Source organism: Homo sapiens, chromosome X (genome assembly GCF_000001405.40).
Source record: "Homo sapiens chromosome X, GRCh38.p14 Primary Assembly".
Classification (NCBI taxonomy): domain Eukaryota; kingdom Metazoa; phylum Chordata; class Mammalia; order Primates; family Hominidae; genus Homo; species Homo sapiens.
Window position 1 is genome coordinate 85,865,341 of NC_000023.11, and position 16,958 is coordinate 85,882,298.

A 16,958-nucleotide genomic window follows, 5' to 3' on the forward strand; every position below is an offset into this window, starting at 1 on the left:
TCCTGCCACCATGTGAGATGTGCCTTGCTTCCCCTTCACCCTCTGCTATGATTGTAACTTTCCTGAGGCCTCCCCAGCCATGTGGCCTTGTGAGTTAAACCTTTTTTGTTTACAAATTACCTAGTCTCAGGTAGTATCTTTATGGCAGTGTAAGAGGCACTAGCATTGAGAATTGGTACCAGGAGTGGGGTACTGCTAAAAGATAACCTGAAAATGTGGAAGTGACTATGGAATTGGGTAACAGGCAGAGGTTAGAACAGTTTGGAGGGCTCAGAAGAAGAGAGGTAAATGTGGGAAAATTTGGAACTTTCTAGAGACTTGTTGAATGGTTTTGGCCAAAATGCTGATAGTGATATGAACAATGATGTCCAGGCTGAGGTGGCCTCAGATGGAGATGAGGAACTTATTGGGAACTGGAGCAAAGGTGACTCTTGCTATGCTTTAGCAAAGAGACTAGTAGCATTTTCTCCCTGCCCTAGAGATCTGTGAAACTTTGAACTTGAGAAAGATGATTTAGGGTATGTGGCAGAAAAAATTTCTAAGCAGCAAAGCATTCAAGAGGTGACCCAGCTGATTCTGAAAGCACTCAGTCATGTGTGTTCACAAAGAGATGCCTTCACATTGGAACTTATGTTTAAAAGGGAAGCAGAGCATAAAGGTTTGGAAAATTTGCAGTCTGACCATGTGGGAGAAAAGAAAAAACCATTTTCTGGGGAGGAATTCAAGCTGGCTATAGCAATTTGCATGAGCAATGATGAGCCAAATGTCAATAGACAAGACAATGGGGAAAATGTCTCCAGGGCATGTCAGAGATCTTCCCTAGGAGGAAAAATGGTTTAGTGGGCTGGGTGGGCCCCACTGCTCTGTGCAGCCCTGGAACATGGTACCCTACATCCCAGCTGCTCCAGCTCCAGCCATGGCTAAAAGGAATAAAGGTACAGCTTGGGCTGTTGCTTCAGAGGGTGCAAGCCCCGAGCGTTGCCAGCTTCCACGTGATGTTGGGCCTGAGGGTGCACAAAAGACAAGAGGTGAGGTTTGGGAGCTTCTGCATAGATTTCAGAGGATGTTAGGAAACGCCTAGATGGCCAGGCAGAAGTCTGCTGCAGGGGTAGAGCCCTCATGGAGAACCTCTGCTAGGGCAGTGCTGAAGGGAAATGTGGGCTTGGAGCCCCCACAAAGAGTCACCACTAGGGAACTGTTTAGTGGAGCTGTAAGAAGAGGGCCACTGTCCTCTAGACCCCAGAATGGTAGCTCCACTGACAGCCTGCACCATGCACCTGGAAAAGTCACAGGCACTCAATGCCAGCCCATGAAAGCAGGCACAGTGCCTATCCCCTGCAGAGCCACAGGGTTGGAACTGCCCAAGGCTGTGGGAGCCTAGCCCTTGTATCAGCATGGCCTGGATGTGAGACATGGAGTCAAAGGAGATTTTGGAGCTTTAAGATTTAATGACTGCCCGGCTGGGTTTTGGACTTGCATGGGGCCTATGGCCCCTTTGTTTTGTCCAATTTCTCCCATTTGGAATGGGGACATTTACCCAATGCCTATACCCCATCGTATCTTGGAAGTAACTAACTTGCTTTTGATTTTACAGGTTCATAGGCAGAAGGGACTTGACTTGTCTCAGATGAGACTTTGGACGTGGACTTTTGAGTTAATGCTGGAATGAGTTTTAAGACTTTGGAGGGCTGTTGGGAAGGGATGATTGGTTTTGAAATGTGAAAAGGACATGAGATTTGGGAAGGGTCGGGGCAGAATGATATGGTTTGGCTCTATGTCCCTACCCAAATCTCATTTGCAATTGTAATCCACAAGTATTAGGGAGGGACTGGTGGGAGATGAATGGATTATGGGGGCACTTTTCCCCATGCTGTCCTCGTGATAGTGACTTCTCACAAGATCTGATGGTTTAAAAGTGTTTGGCAGTTCCCTCTTTGCTTTCTTTGCTCTCCTGCCGCCATGTAAGACATGCCTTGCTTCCCCTTTGCCTTCCACCCTGATTTTACATTTCCTTAGGCCTCCCCAGCTATGAGGAACTGTCAGTCAATTAAACCTCTTTTGTTTATAAATTACAGTCTCAGGTGGTATCTTTATAGCAGTGTGAGGACAGACTAATACAAGCCCACATGTGATACTGGTATAGTCTAATTTAGCATATAGTAATTTTAACAAGTCACTGTTCAAATGAAGAAAACTCTTCACTGTTTGTTCAACTATTTGCTTTTTGATAGAATTTCCATTCCCTGGACTTTAAGGACTATAGCACTTGTTTAAGCTCATGGGTTTTGAAAAGATAGCCTCAGTAAAAATACTGGCTCTACGATTTAGCAGTTATGTGATTTGGGGAATGCTTTCTCAATTTCCGAGCTTTGGCTTCCTTATCTATAAAATATCAGAGATTAAGCCGACATATATGGTAGCTATTTTCATTATTACTAATAATAACATAAGTAAAAATGTCAAGATTTAAGCTGAACTTATTAGTATGACAGGGTAACAGAATAAAAAACCTTCAAGGGTATGTTCTTGGACATGCCAATTACTATAGACAATTTAAGTTTTTAAATACTTAATTGACAAAAAGTATATATATTTAAGGTGTACAAGGTCACTTGATATACACTGTGTAATGATTACCACAATTAAGTTAACACGTCCATCACCACTAATAGTTACCACTGTGTGTGTGTGTGTGTGTGTGTGTGTGTGTGTGTTTGTAGTAAGAATACTTAAAATCTGCTCTCTTGTCAAATTTGAATTGAAGAATCCTGTCATTTATGACAAGATAAATGAACCTGGAGGACATTATGCTAAGTGAAATAAGCCAAGCACAGAAAGACAAATATCACATGATCTCACTTATATGTAGAATCTAAAAAAGTTGAGGGTGGTTGCCAGGGGCTGGGGAGTGTAGAGCTGTTGGTTTAAGGGTATGAACTTTCAGCTATAAGTTCTGGGGATCTAATGTACAGCATGGTAACTATAGCTAACTGCATTTTTTATTATGGCTATTTGGAAATTAAACATTACAGATGCCTGTCTTTGCTCTCCATCCCGGAGACTCACCATACTCCTTTGCTAGAGACACGCAACCCCTGTAGAAGCAGGACCTAGATCAGACAAAGCCATTACCTCATACTTCCGTTCCCCTAATGGTCTTTTTGTCTTACATCTCTGTTTTTACTATCTGTAAAAGTTCTCCCTCCCTTTTATCTTTGGCATGCAAACAATCATCAAATTCTATCAATTTTATCTTCTATCTCTTAACTTCATCTGTTCCTTCCCCACTGACATAGCCCAGACATGCACCATCTTTCAACTAGACAACTACAATAGCCTCAGAATTGGACTGGTCTCCTTGCCTCTAGAGTTCCCCCATATAATCCATCTCCATGCCATCCTCAGATGGGTCAATGGAAAATAAAATTCTGTTTATTCCATTTTTGGCTTAAAATTCTTCAATGACTCCCCATCACCAATAGGATAAAATCCAAGATTCCTACTATAGAAAATAAAACCCTTCAGGCCTACCTTCTCTGATCTTATCATATACCATTTCATCTAGCCTCCATCTCTCAGACTTCTTGATTTACTAATACCTGTTTATTTGTATGAAACAATACACCATGATATTTATCTTTTACATCCTGGACTGGTACCAATGTTATTCTTCACATCCAGAATGTTTCAATTCTACTGTCTTTGATTTAGATGGAGAATTGCTACTCTTCTGTTATACCCCTCTCCGTAAGGTTCTCTGACTCCTAGATTGGGCTCATTTCTCCTTTCTGTTATTTCTAGACTTTGGATATATTAGTACATACGCCACACTACACTGTCATTTGTTTACATGCTTTTCTCCTTTACCTGACAGTGATTCCTCCAGGATGACAAATACTTTTAGTCAACTCTGGATCCTTAGTGCCTTGGCATAAAATAGAATGTCAGTAACATTTAATACAAATATTAAGTATAAATATAATAATTATTATTACTACTAATTCTTTTACTTCTTCTATGCTAGTTCCTCTGTGTTTGACACCTTGTCTCCCTTTTGCCTCCTCCCCATAGAATAGCTTTTACCCTAAACTCCAGTCTCTGTGGCTGGATCCCACACCACATACTTCCATATATCTTGTCATGCACCACCTGCCTCCTAAGATTAGCACCAGTTGCAGGTTGTCACACCACTCTTTCTTGTGTTCTACCTGCTTATGAAACTCCCACCTATAGCCCATCTGCCCTGGCCCTTGTTGATGCCAATTTCCAATAGCCAGACTCCAGCCCTTCCCAAATCTCTCCTCTCTCTAACTGCTGCAACCTCTTAGGGTCAACTGCCATGCTCTGGAAAGTGTATCTAATGCTTCTTGGTCTGCTGCATTTTGTTTGCCAACTAAACCTAGTTCTAAGCACAGAATAGTTGATTGGCAACTTTTCATCCTCTTCACCTTTTTTAAGCCAGAAGTTAGATCAAAGGGTAAAAAATTTCAGGTGGTTAAAACATTGGAAAGGGCTAATTATATTGTGACTTGGTGTGCTCACACTGGCAAGTACAGAGAGAACAAAGTGAATTATTTAAAATATTTCTATGTTTAGTTAACATACATCAACACAAACAAAATTAAACATTTCATCAATATAGTACTTTAATGTTTTTAGGATGTATGCCTACTCATAAGCTGAAAGTAGCATATAACACTGGGTGAGTGTACAAGCACTGGGATCCAAAAGAGTTGAGTTTAATTCTTGGCTCAAGAACTTACTAGCTATGGGGCCTCTGGACAAGTTATTCAGCCCCTTCAGGACTTAGCTTCCTTATCTATAAATGGGTATATCACAAATACTTATCTCATAAGATTGTTTTGAGGACCAAATAAGATAATATATATGAGATGCTAAGGATAGAATCTGACACACAGAAAGTGCTCAAATGAATGGCAGCTACAGAAAATATGACATCTAAAATTGCTCGCTCTCTCTCAAAGGCATGAGAAAACAAATGGCACTACCGTATGTGAACAACCTGATAGTTCAATCTATACAGTTAGCTCTCAACTTAATAATGGGCTGTATATCAAACGTCGTAAGTGACTGGCTAATCTGTCCATAAAACAATGCTCTAAATGGTGGTTAAGTTGCCTGCCCAGCCCAACATCAGCCAATTTAACTCATTTTATACTTGAAGTAAAATACAAAGAGTATGGTACTATTTATTCTTATTCCCATGGTAGTGACATCTCCAAGAGGGTGGGGCTCCTGAAGGAGTGAGCTATCAATGTCTTGGGAATGAGGACTATGGAACTGTCCATCAGTACGTTTGGGTAAATGGTACACAACATCTACCAAGAAAAGAGATATATCAGATGTCAGTTTCAGAAAAATAAAAACAAAACTGAAATACAAAAATGAGCAAGTCATAGAAAGAATCACAACTATCACTTAGGTTGGTATTGCGGTGGCAATAGAGAATGTCTTGGAGGCCAGGAGCACACAATTTGAACTTGTGGGTATTAAAGACAGATCACTTTATGTTTTCGGTGCATCTTCAAATCATAAATGGTTCCCTATGAAAACAAGAGTGTCAAGTTTACATTACTCAACCTCTATACATTTTACAAATAAGAAAAGATGTAAACCTGCCAACTGGTAAAATGAAGTATTTCATTTGCTTTTTAAAAATGAAGAAATCGGGCCGGGTGTGGTGGCTCACGCCTGTAATCCCAGCACTTTGGGAGGCCGAGGTGGGTGGATCTTGAGGTCAGGAGATTGAGACCATCCTGGCTAACATGGTGAAACCCCGTCTCTACTAAAAATACAAAAAATTAGCTGGGCGTGGTGGCAAGCGCCTCCCAGGTACCTGGGAGGCTGAGGCAGGAGAATGGCATGAACCCAGGAGGGGGAGCTTGCAGTGAGCCAAGATTGCGCCACTGCACTCCAGCCTGGGTGACAGAGCAAGACTGTCTCAAAAAAAAAAAAAAAAAAGAAGAAATCTGCATGGGCTTGTGTTGTCAACACAAGCAAAGTCTAGGTGATATTCTGAGAGCTTTTATGGATAATCTTCATTTGGAAAATACCAATCACCAGAAATCACCAATTAGTGACTGACATAATTACAGGCTGATACACAGGAATTAGCATGCAGTTTATCTGAATACACAAGCTATTTATAAACATTGTCAATGTTCTTTAAAGTAGACATTATAATATTTCCCCCAAAATTGATGAGATTAAAAGCTATACAACAAATTTAAAACTGCTTACATTTAATAGCATATATTAATTAGTACCAAAATTAGCACTATACTGTTTTCTACTGTATAGCATGTTACCTCTGAAGATTATATTCTTGAGAAGCAAATTACCTCATGATAAAATTATCCCTCAATTATAATCTTCTAGCATGCAGTTTAGATGTTTAGCTTACATTAGTACTTGTATTATAAGCCCTTACTTAAATTTTTTTGGTTAAAAAATATTAAAAGTTCATTCAGGGATAAAAATGACCTAAGCTACCTTGCTAAAAACTTGTTGGCAATTTCTACTTGCAAAAAATTAGAACATCAAGGTAAAAATGACTTGATCATTTCAAGCTATAAATGCAGATCTTCAGCCATCTTGGGTTCTTACTAAACTAACAGAAGGAATGATGGATGAGAGATGTGACTTCCTATTTTTGTTTGGTGTCACTGGCTGAATATGATTATCCAGGATCACCATCAGGCACTGAAGAAAATACACAAGAATTCTAGAAAAAAACTGCAGATGTCTGTATCCTCATGATAGACATAGCTTTGCTACAATGACTCAAAATTAGATTACAGGCTCAACCAGGACATTTGCTACTATAAGATCCTTGCCACTGGCGGGAATGAAAGTTCCATCTGTGGTCTTAGAACAATGTTAAATTACCCAATTATTGACTTAATGGACAGATGTGCCAGTTCTACCCGTGAAAAGTTTAGAAATGTGTCTCAAAAAATATTTTCTGTTTGTTTTCGTCCTGTCCAGGGCAAAGAAGTATATTTATATATACATATCAATATTCAGCTTAATGGAATCATGGCTCACTTTTAGCAGCTTGTATCAAACTGTGCCTCTTCATAGCCCTGACCGGGATGGCTATCACAAACTTCCACCTTACTTTACAATAGACCTCAGCAGCAGTAATGGTAGCTCCTGGGACAGGAATTTGTGTCAAAACATAAATAGAATCAAGTTAACTATGTAAAACTACGCTATAACTTATTTTCTATGATTAAAAAATGCATTAAGACTACTGTAAAATTAATTTTATAAGCCTTAGTAGTTACAACCTTCTTGACTGTTTACCAAGAAAAATAATTTATGTATTTCAAAATAATATAGCAATCGTCCAACTGTTTAAGTTAGAAACAATGTTTCTTTAAAATATTGGCATTATAAATTCTTATGAAATATGTATTTTTAGCATCTTCTATCGTCATTCCCACGATGGAACTCATAAAAAATCTCTGTAACTCAACATTTTATTCAAGAAAGTGAAAATACCTGATCCTGTATTTAAAGTATATTTAAAGTAGCTTTGTAGGTCATAGAAAAAACTTTTAGGGCAAATTACAGAAATGGTACTACTGAGAGATGCTTTTCTAGACTTCTCTCCTCCCAGAGGAAAAAATATTTCCCAACCACACCAACATCTTAATACAAAACTGAGAAACATCAAGAGCCTTACCTGTTTGACTGCATTATCATTTCCTAAACCACAATCTGGGCCAGAGCAGACATAAACGTTGGATGGTAAATCATTATAACAGCTCCTGCTGATGTCTGACGAATCTCTCATATTGAAGTAAAGAGCCCACAGAATTCTTGGCTTTTCTACTTGTTCATTTTCTAAATATAGAAATAAATTTTATTTACATTCTAAAATACAATATGTTTGTCAATTACTACACTGTGTAGCCTATTACCGATTAAGCCATGACTAGACATAGTAGGAAATCAGAGCTTCGTATGTAAACATTTAGTAAATTTGCATCTACACACTCTATTTTGATTAGTAAGTTAATTAGATTTTACTCCAGTCATGCTCCTTTGGACTTCTATTACTTCTTCTCACTAGTATCAAAGGGTTTATGATCACATTCATCCTAAAATTTTCCCTATAGAGAAGATAACATAAATTGATTTCCTTATGTTTCAAATGGACAAACCAACTTGATAAATTATATAGTTATTCAATAGTATATACACATGAAATATCCAGGATAAGCAGGAAGTGGGTTAGTAGGTTACCTAGGGCTGAAGGAAATTGGGGGCAAATGGGAGGTGATCACTAATTGGTATGACGTTTCTTTTGGGGTGATGGAAATGTTCTAAAACTGATGGTGGTGATGTATGGACAATTCTACAAATATGCTAAGAGACAATGAATTGTACACTTCAAATGGGTGAATCATATGGTATATGAATGATATCTCAATAAAGTTATTATTAAAAAAATAGTAAATACAGGATTAAAACTTTGTTGTCCTAACTCACATCCTAATGCTTTGTCTTATTGGATTAAAAAATTAATGACAACCAACAAATATCAAAAATGAAGTCATAACAGTGAATGCCATTTTGAGCACATGTTCTCTCATTTAAGAGCATGTGTCTTTTATGCGTGTTAGGCATTGAGCTAGGAGCTGGGGATATACACATGAAGTAGACTTAGTTCTTACTCTCCTTCCTTGTTTTTGGTTCCCTAATATAGGGCCTAGCACACGACAGATGCTCAGTAAATAATTTCTGAATTGATGTTATTGTATTTTCAGGTATGATCAAAGTACGATGTGCTTATAAAAAGGTCCAACATTACTAATCTCAATGCATAAAGCCTATTTCTTGCTAATTTGATAATCATTTATTTGCCTCTCTTCTTTAAAACTGTTATAATTAAATTTTCTGTTTGAAAACATAAAATACTGCTGTTGATACATTCATTGACTAGAGAGTTTTCTTTAGCCTGAATCTGAACAAAAGTTCAAATTTTGTACAATAATAATGAATGTTTATGAAGATTGCCCAAGACCATGAGGCACCTCATGAATAACAAAGAAAATGCTAAAGGCATAATTATCTCATTAATTACTATTATTTAATTGGTAATCAATGTAGAGAAATCTTCACCTAATAGCAGTATTCAATTAACAAGAAAGCCCTATTTCCCACATCAGGATAAACAGGATTTTATTATATTTAATTTACAGTATCTCCACTATAAGAACACCAAATAAGTTATTTTCCTAGTTCAACCTGAATAATCCATAATTATTAGTGGAATAGGATGAAGAAACTGAGTGGAAGAAGTGATCTCCTAAGGTGCCCCTTTCTGGTGCTAAGATCTACGAGTCATCTAAGATATTGCTAACTTCATGTAGGAACATATTAGGTGGCTAAATCTATTGACAAAATAAAGGAACATAAGGAATTCATATTTTATAGCTAACATCATATGGCTCTTAGTAAACTGATTAATGAGTTTAGTTACACGAATCTTATGGGAAGATACTTAAATGTATCTCCTATGATTTGGGATACCAGACTTGGGGAGCACTGCTAACAAGTGGGCTAAGGTCTGGAAAGTCTTTAATAGTGCCCAGCCCATTTCTAAGCATATACTAGGAGAGCTTATCTTGTATCTCATTAAACATCCAGCTCAAAGGAACACTTCACTTAATAAACGCTGGAGGAAATGAATAATCCAATAGATTTAAACTAATTTCATAGACGTTGCGCCTTTGAAAAGAAACCATGAGGAAGGTGAAAAACTGACATAGGCTGAAGATAAATGCTCTGGATACTAGGGCATTATCAGGCTTTGACCTTAAAACTTTAAAGAGATATATAATTGCTTCATCTTTCTTTGAGGTCAGCTGGAAGGCAAAGAGATAGCTAGAAAAAGAATATGCAGTTGTGAAGTGCAAAACTGTCAAAAAATATTAAAGTTGCTGAGCTTTGGCTAGGAGTGCATCACAAGTTGCCAGGGGTAGAACTGGTTTTCTGCAGTAGCTCATTTCATTCAACTTGATAGTAAGAAGGACTAAAGATGTAACAGGTAATTTAGAATAGGGTCTTGGGCAAATTAAACTGGAGTAAGTGTAGAATAGGGTAGGTAGAAGAAAAGCAACTATAGCACAACAATAACAAGAAAGCAAGAAATGGTGTCTACAGCTGCATGCCATGTTTAGGGATAGAGTAAACTATGTTAGTAATACCAGCAGAGTGGTGGAGACTGTCATAGCCCTGACTGAGTCTGGATACAGCACACACAGAAAGGAATTAAGACATTTGCTTTCACAGCCCAACAATTACTTAACACACTAGCTATGGACTTTAAACTACACCTATAAGGGAAATTTCTGTTTTTTTAGGCAGTGCTGCTCTTTGAGATAGAAAATGAGTGAGACGCTTCACTGACCATATGATTCTATACCTAGAAAATCCTAAAGATGCCATCAAAAGGCTCCTTGAATTGATAAACGACTTCAGTAAAGTTTTAGGACACAAAAATCAGTAGGATTTCTATACACTAATAACAATCAAGCACAGGGCTAAGTCAAGAATGCAATCCTATTTACAATGCCACAACAAATATTTACAAGTCATGTATCTGATAAGGGATTAATATCCAGAATATGTAAAGAACTCCTACAACTCAACAACAACAAAAAATCCAATTAAAAATGTGCAAAGGAAATGAATAGATATTTCTCCAGAGAAGACAGACAGATGGCCAATAAGTTCTTGAAAAGATGTTGAACATCACTAATCGCTGGGGGAGAAGCAAAGCAAGACTACTATGAGATACTACTTCACACGTACTAGGATGGCTATTATATAGATTTTTTTTAAAAGGTGACTAGGCTGACTTTCACTGAGGATTATGAAGCACAGAGAATGTAGAATTCAAAGACAAACAAAAAGAAAATATGCCCAAATAATGTTATTCCTTTGGTACATGTTTTAAACTAAAATATTTACAATGCAGTAAAGCATAAGGTATTATATGAATGTCAAATAATCAAAACATAATACTAAAAGCCATCAATCTGTGAAAATAGGGGCTTCTCCTACAGAGAAGAATGTGCTTTAATGTATTAGAAGTTCATATTGCTCATAAAGTTCCTTCTTCCTCATTTAGGCAGGAAAATGAATTGAGTTCTCTTCTCCAGGTGACTTTGCCTTTTTGACCTGCTATGGCCCAGTGCTCACTTTATCTGGTGATTCATTTTCAATAACTCCAACAGTATTTGTTCTGACATTTTAATTAAAATATGACCACTACCTCATCCTGATGATAAAAAGGCCTATGTGTCAGTGAAAACTAGCTTTTCAGTGCCTCAGTGCACCTGAGGACCCTTCTGAGCACATAGTTCTTATCAAAGAATTCCTCTCAGGTTCTAAACAATACATCATTTCAAAATGGGATCACTTTAACTATTAAGATTAATGTTTAAAAATCTAAAATGGATAGAGGATGCTAAGTAATGAACATGTAATTTCCCCCAGCTTGATTTTTTTTAAAGAAAATTAAATGCATTTAAAAAGTGAAGAGTAATGACATGATTCATATTTAGTGCATTGAGACTACTACACAATGAAATTACAATATAAGAATTATTTAAAATTTCAGAAATAATTAAGAAACTCAGGGTTTCTACACAAAGTATAGTTGTAGTTAAAGCCAAAAGAAAAAACTATGACTCCATATTAGATTTAGGAATATTATCATGTATTTTACCTTAGCAATCAAATTTTTAATAATCTAAACATTTATATGATACTTTCCAATAAAGAAAATATGTAACTTACAAATTAATAAATTAAAACTAAAATAATTTAATTTGTAAATTAACCCCCAAATTAAAGTGAAGTTTTCAAATACTTCATTTGGGTAGCTCCCAAAAAACATAATTGATATTAGCCTCTGAGAACATAACAGGTTCATTATGTTAAGTGAAATAAGCTAGGCACAGAAAGACAAACTTAATGTGTTCTCACTCATTTGTGGGAGCTAAAAATTAAAACAATGTAATTCATGGAGATAGAGTGTACAACGATGGTTATCAGAGGCTAGGATGGGTAATGGAGAAGGAAGAGGGAAAAGTGGGGATGGTTAAAGGGTGCAGAACATAAATAGAATGAATAAGATCTAGCATTTGATAGCACAACAGGGTGAGTACAGTCATTTACAGTGTACTTTAAAAATAACTAAAAGAGTATAACTGGAATGATTGTAACACTGAGAAATGATAAATGCTTAAAGTGATGGGTATCCCATTTACCATGATGTGATTACTCCACATTGTATGCCTGTATCAATATATCTCATGTACCCAATAAATATATACGCCTAGTATGTACCCATAAAATTAAAAAAAAAATTAAAGAACAGAACAGTTTGTCTTCTTATGTAAATAAACCCCCCTCTATGCACTATCTCTGCATTAAGAAAATAAGCAACCCACATAGGAAATGAGCTGCAAGGAAACAGAACAGGTATGAGTAAATAAATGGTTGCATGAACAAAAGTAACATGCAAAGAAAATAAAGATATATAAATCAATGGAAGAAAATGATCAAGATTCAAGTGCACATGCAAATCCTACAATAAAAATCACCTTCACTTCATATAAAAGAAAATGCAAAAGGCTTCTTTTATCATTTACACAGAAAATATGCCATATTTTCTCCATTCACAGCTGCAAGTGCTACCCTATTATGTAGGGGGAAAGTTTTAAAATGTGTTTCCCCCATGAATAAGTAGCATATACACTTTTGGGAGTTAAATATTAAATCACTAGCACACTATGCATTAAAAGACTATTAGAGGCTGGATGCAGTGGCTCACGCCTTTAATTCCAGCACTTTGGGAAGCGGAGGTGGGCGGATCACCTGAGGTCAGGCGTTCCAGACTACCCTGGCCAACATAGGAAAACCCCGTCTCTATTACAAATACAAAAATCAGCTGGGTGTGGTGGCACTCGCCTGTAGTCCCAGCTACTCAGGAGGCTGAGGCAGGAGAATTGCTTGAACGTGGGAGGTGGAGGCTGCAGTGAGCCGAGATCACGCCACTGCACTCCAACCTGGGCGACAGAGTGAGACTCTGTCTCAAAAAAAAAAAAAGACTATTGGATAGGAAAGGATTTCTACATCTGCCAATTAATATTTTAATCTGTTAGTTGAATCTTTTTTCCTTAAAGGAAGATACATTTCTCTGATAAAGGAATATATGCTTTTTGTACAACACTTGTAAAATAAAGAAAATTATAAGGAAAATTGCCCATAATCCCACCAAAATTAACTGATTTTCTAACAATCCTTTTTCTGTGTAACTATACATATAAATGTATATTTTTGTGCTTAATTATGTTTTTTTGGTGTGTGTATGATGTATATACTTCCTTTAACATTGTAGAGTGAACATTTTCCCACATGTTTAGGCAGACACTGTGCTCAAGCATCTTATCAAAACATGTGAATTGTTGTTGAATACATCCCATTTCAGTTCAGGTTGCAGAAACTTTCATGATATATCTAAGAAGATTATGATGGTTACATTACCTTTCCATCATGAGTTATCAATTATTTTTCTTACCTATCTCCATTTCAGTATATGGAACAAACAATTTCTGCACAACTGATTCTAAATCTTCTCTTGCTGTTTTAGAAGATGTGCAAGTCAAATGAACCAAATCTGTTAAAAAAAAAATATTTGAGTTCCTTGTCATCACAAATCTATTTTACTTATACTTAAGGCATTAAGCTGGTATTATGGATAATAGAGAGCTGAGCAAGTCATGGTGGTTACAACATTTGTTAACTAACAGCTAAAGGAAGTACCCAACAAGTACCCAAGAAGTACCAGTTGATGTTAATTTGATAAAACAGAGTAGAAAATCTTAGACAATCATTTATTCACAGAAAAGAGCTTGTTATACTTATGACATTCCTAAAGAATAACTGGGTAAAAAAAGGCTGAAAGTGAGGTATGTATTTACCTAAGAGAACACACTTCATATACTGCAGACAGAAACACCCATTTATACATGTTTTGCTGATAAGTTAACAACAAATTATCTACTAATTACAGGGTTATCTAAAAACCTTTTGGGAGAACACTGCTGACTTAGAATCACACATATACTTGAAAGCACATAAAACGGCATAGGTTAAAACAGTCTATAATATTTTCAGGAATTTCAAATTATTTTCCTTTTGCATTTACAGAGTTATGGGGCCTGAATCTTGGAGAATGTTTATGTTAGAGAAAATCACGTACAAACAAGGCCCTTCATGGAAGTAAAATATTGTAGCCTAACTCCGTTAAAACTCCTAAAGGCCTGTGCACAAAGGTGAAGAAAGAATAAAGAGTTCTGTGTTTTGCAATAAAGGAGTAAAGGGACCTCCAAATGACAGAAGTTCTTATGGTCCTGTTATTTGGGATGAGATACAATAATGGCAGAAAGAATATATTAGAGAACAGTAAGTACCAGTACCGAGAAATTCCTCCCCCCACTATATTAGTAGGGGGAGAAAGATACACCCACTTCTCTTCCAATAGTTTATTTCAGACTACTAGAATTTTTTTTTTAAACTCCAGGAAGATAGTTCAAATTTTATCATGAAAGCCAACATCAGAATAAGATTCTCATTATCAAAATTTATTCTACATTCAACTACTTTAAAATATATCTAAGCATAAATTGAGGGACTCTAATAACCATGGAACTAAAATCAAATGTTGTAGGTTTTTCCCTCCCAGGTCCACTAAAGGAAGTATATTTTCGGATGGTTCCTGAATTACTTATGGCCTAATAATAGGTCTACCTTATTTAAGCATTGTTTTCACATGAATTTAACAATGATTCTCATTGGTTCTGGGATACTGTAGGATGTATGGTACTAATTATTTCCAAAGATATAATGAGCTTCATAACAAAAATTATTTTGGTTAACTTTTTTCAAATGCTGTATAGCATTAGTTGGGATGAGACTTAATCCTCCTAGATAATTACTGAAGTAAACAGGGTATGCAGTTACAAAGGTCAGCAATCCATAGGAGATAATCTATCCTGTCTCTTATTTCAAAATCTCGTGAAATACCAATGCCCAAAGTTCTCAATTTTCCAGTTTTTTGCTTGTTTGTTAATGTTTATTTGGGAAAAAGCAGATGAACCTGGACATAAATAAGTATATTTTGGAAAATATCTTAATGGGTAAACTATTGGTTCTGTTAAACAGGACATATATTTTAAAGAGATACACTTAAGTTAGTATATCATTATATTTCTTAGCAACATAACAGACAGTTCAGGTTATGCTAGGAAAAATGTCTAGTAGTGAAGTAAGATTATCATCTCATGATTAATGAGTTTTATAACAATTCTTACAAAGACATTCATAAGCTGAATTATAATCCCTATACATTGACTTTGCTTAGAGGCTACATTGTTAATTGATCTATTAATACAAATTTAAGGTATGAATAACTACTTTTTCCCCTTACCGTTCCTGCTTTTCCTGTTACCTAGGTCACCTTCTAGTATAGATTACTGAATTCATTTTGGTTCTCTTCAAATCAGAGATTGCTGATTGTGCTCTTTTTAAAATTCATTGATTCTCAACATTTGTTTATTAATCTTAATATATCTTGTAAGTCCTTTGCAGGGGCAAGCTTTAGAGTCGATTTTTCTCCTTTTTGTTAAATACAACTTTTACTTAGAGTGGGTATTCAATAAATGTTAATTATAATTTGTCTCACTGTCACGGACAAACATCAAGTATTCCTGTGTTTAAATAGATATGCATTCCCATACCAATAGATCTATGTGTACATATTCATGGGGAAATTCTGATTAGTTTCTTGTATAAAATTTGGGAAATTATCTGATTTACCAGGAAAGAGGAAAGGGAAGTACCAATTGATAATCTCAAATTATTTAAATCTGTCTGAGAAATGCTTATAAACACATTAAGATATATCTATAAAATTCTCAAAATACATTTAAGAGAATATCTAGAGTTGACTGTACAAATAACATGCATGTGTTAGACACTATTTTAAGCATGCTACAAGTATCATTTCACTTTACTTGTGCAACAGCAAACTGTTATTCTCATTTTACAGATGAGAAAACAGGGATGGGGGGCTATGCAGATTTCCTAAAGTCATGCAATTAGTAGAAGGAAGGGCTGGGACTCAGAGCTCGAATTGAAGCCCATATGGCCTGCCTGCAGAGTGTCTGCCTTTAGTCACTAAATTATATTATGTGATTCTAATAATCTCCTGCAGAAGGCACAGTCAGTCACTTAAGTCAGCAGCATTCAAACTGGGATGTGTGTGAGGATACAAGAGGACTTTTCACAAGTTATATCACCTACAAGGGGGTTCTCATACAGATGCTCAGCTCCACCTCTCCTACTTCATTCAGTGAAATTTTACTTATTCTGTTTAATATTTATTTACCAAAACTGTAATATATTTATGACAGTTAGATTAATTCTGTAGAAATAATAATTGCATTAATTACTAAATCCAGAAGAAAGTTTTAGATTAGAAGCTTATTGCCCTAGAAAGTTTCAAAAAAATTCTATTTCCATTTATTTTTTTAAATGGGTGATGGGTATCAAATATCCCTGATACTTAGATTCCACTGAATACATTTAAATGACTGATGTTATAATTTTACTATAAGTCAATATTTACGATGTTAGAAATTATATTCTTTGCAATTATTTGACTCTTCTGATGAAAAACTGTGTATGTCAACTTGTAAAGGGTTCAAGGGATAAATGAGCAAAAAGTCTGAAGACCTTAAGGGTATAAGGTAAACTCAAAACCAAACATGTAGAACATGCTATCACATTTCTACTGAAATTCAATTATGTAAAATACTTCTTTGCATCTATGTGACTTTAATTCTTCTCCA

The 16,958-nt window shown here is 36.0% G+C and overlaps 1 protein-coding gene across 8 annotated transcripts in view; it reads right to left on the minus strand.

Moving 5' to 3' along the window:
* The window catches only part of CHM (CHM Rab escort protein), a 186,379-nt gene that overhangs the window by 4,161 nt on the left and 165,260 nt on the right, over nucleotides 1-16,958 (minus strand). For 7 of the 8 annotated variants that reach the window (NM_000390.4, XM_047441793.1, NM_001362519.1 and 4 more), the window contains 2 exons: nucleotides 13,625-13,723; nucleotides 7,712-7,872 (listed from right to left, as the gene is read on the minus strand). In NM_000390.4, coding sequence (NP_000381.1) covers nucleotides 7,712-7,872; nucleotides 13,625-13,723 — 260 coding nt within the window. Of the gene's footprint in view, nucleotides 1-4,621; nucleotides 7,177-7,711; nucleotides 7,873-13,624; nucleotides 13,724-16,958 lie in introns of those variants that run through there. The other variant, XM_017029242.3, reaches the window with a different exon arrangement.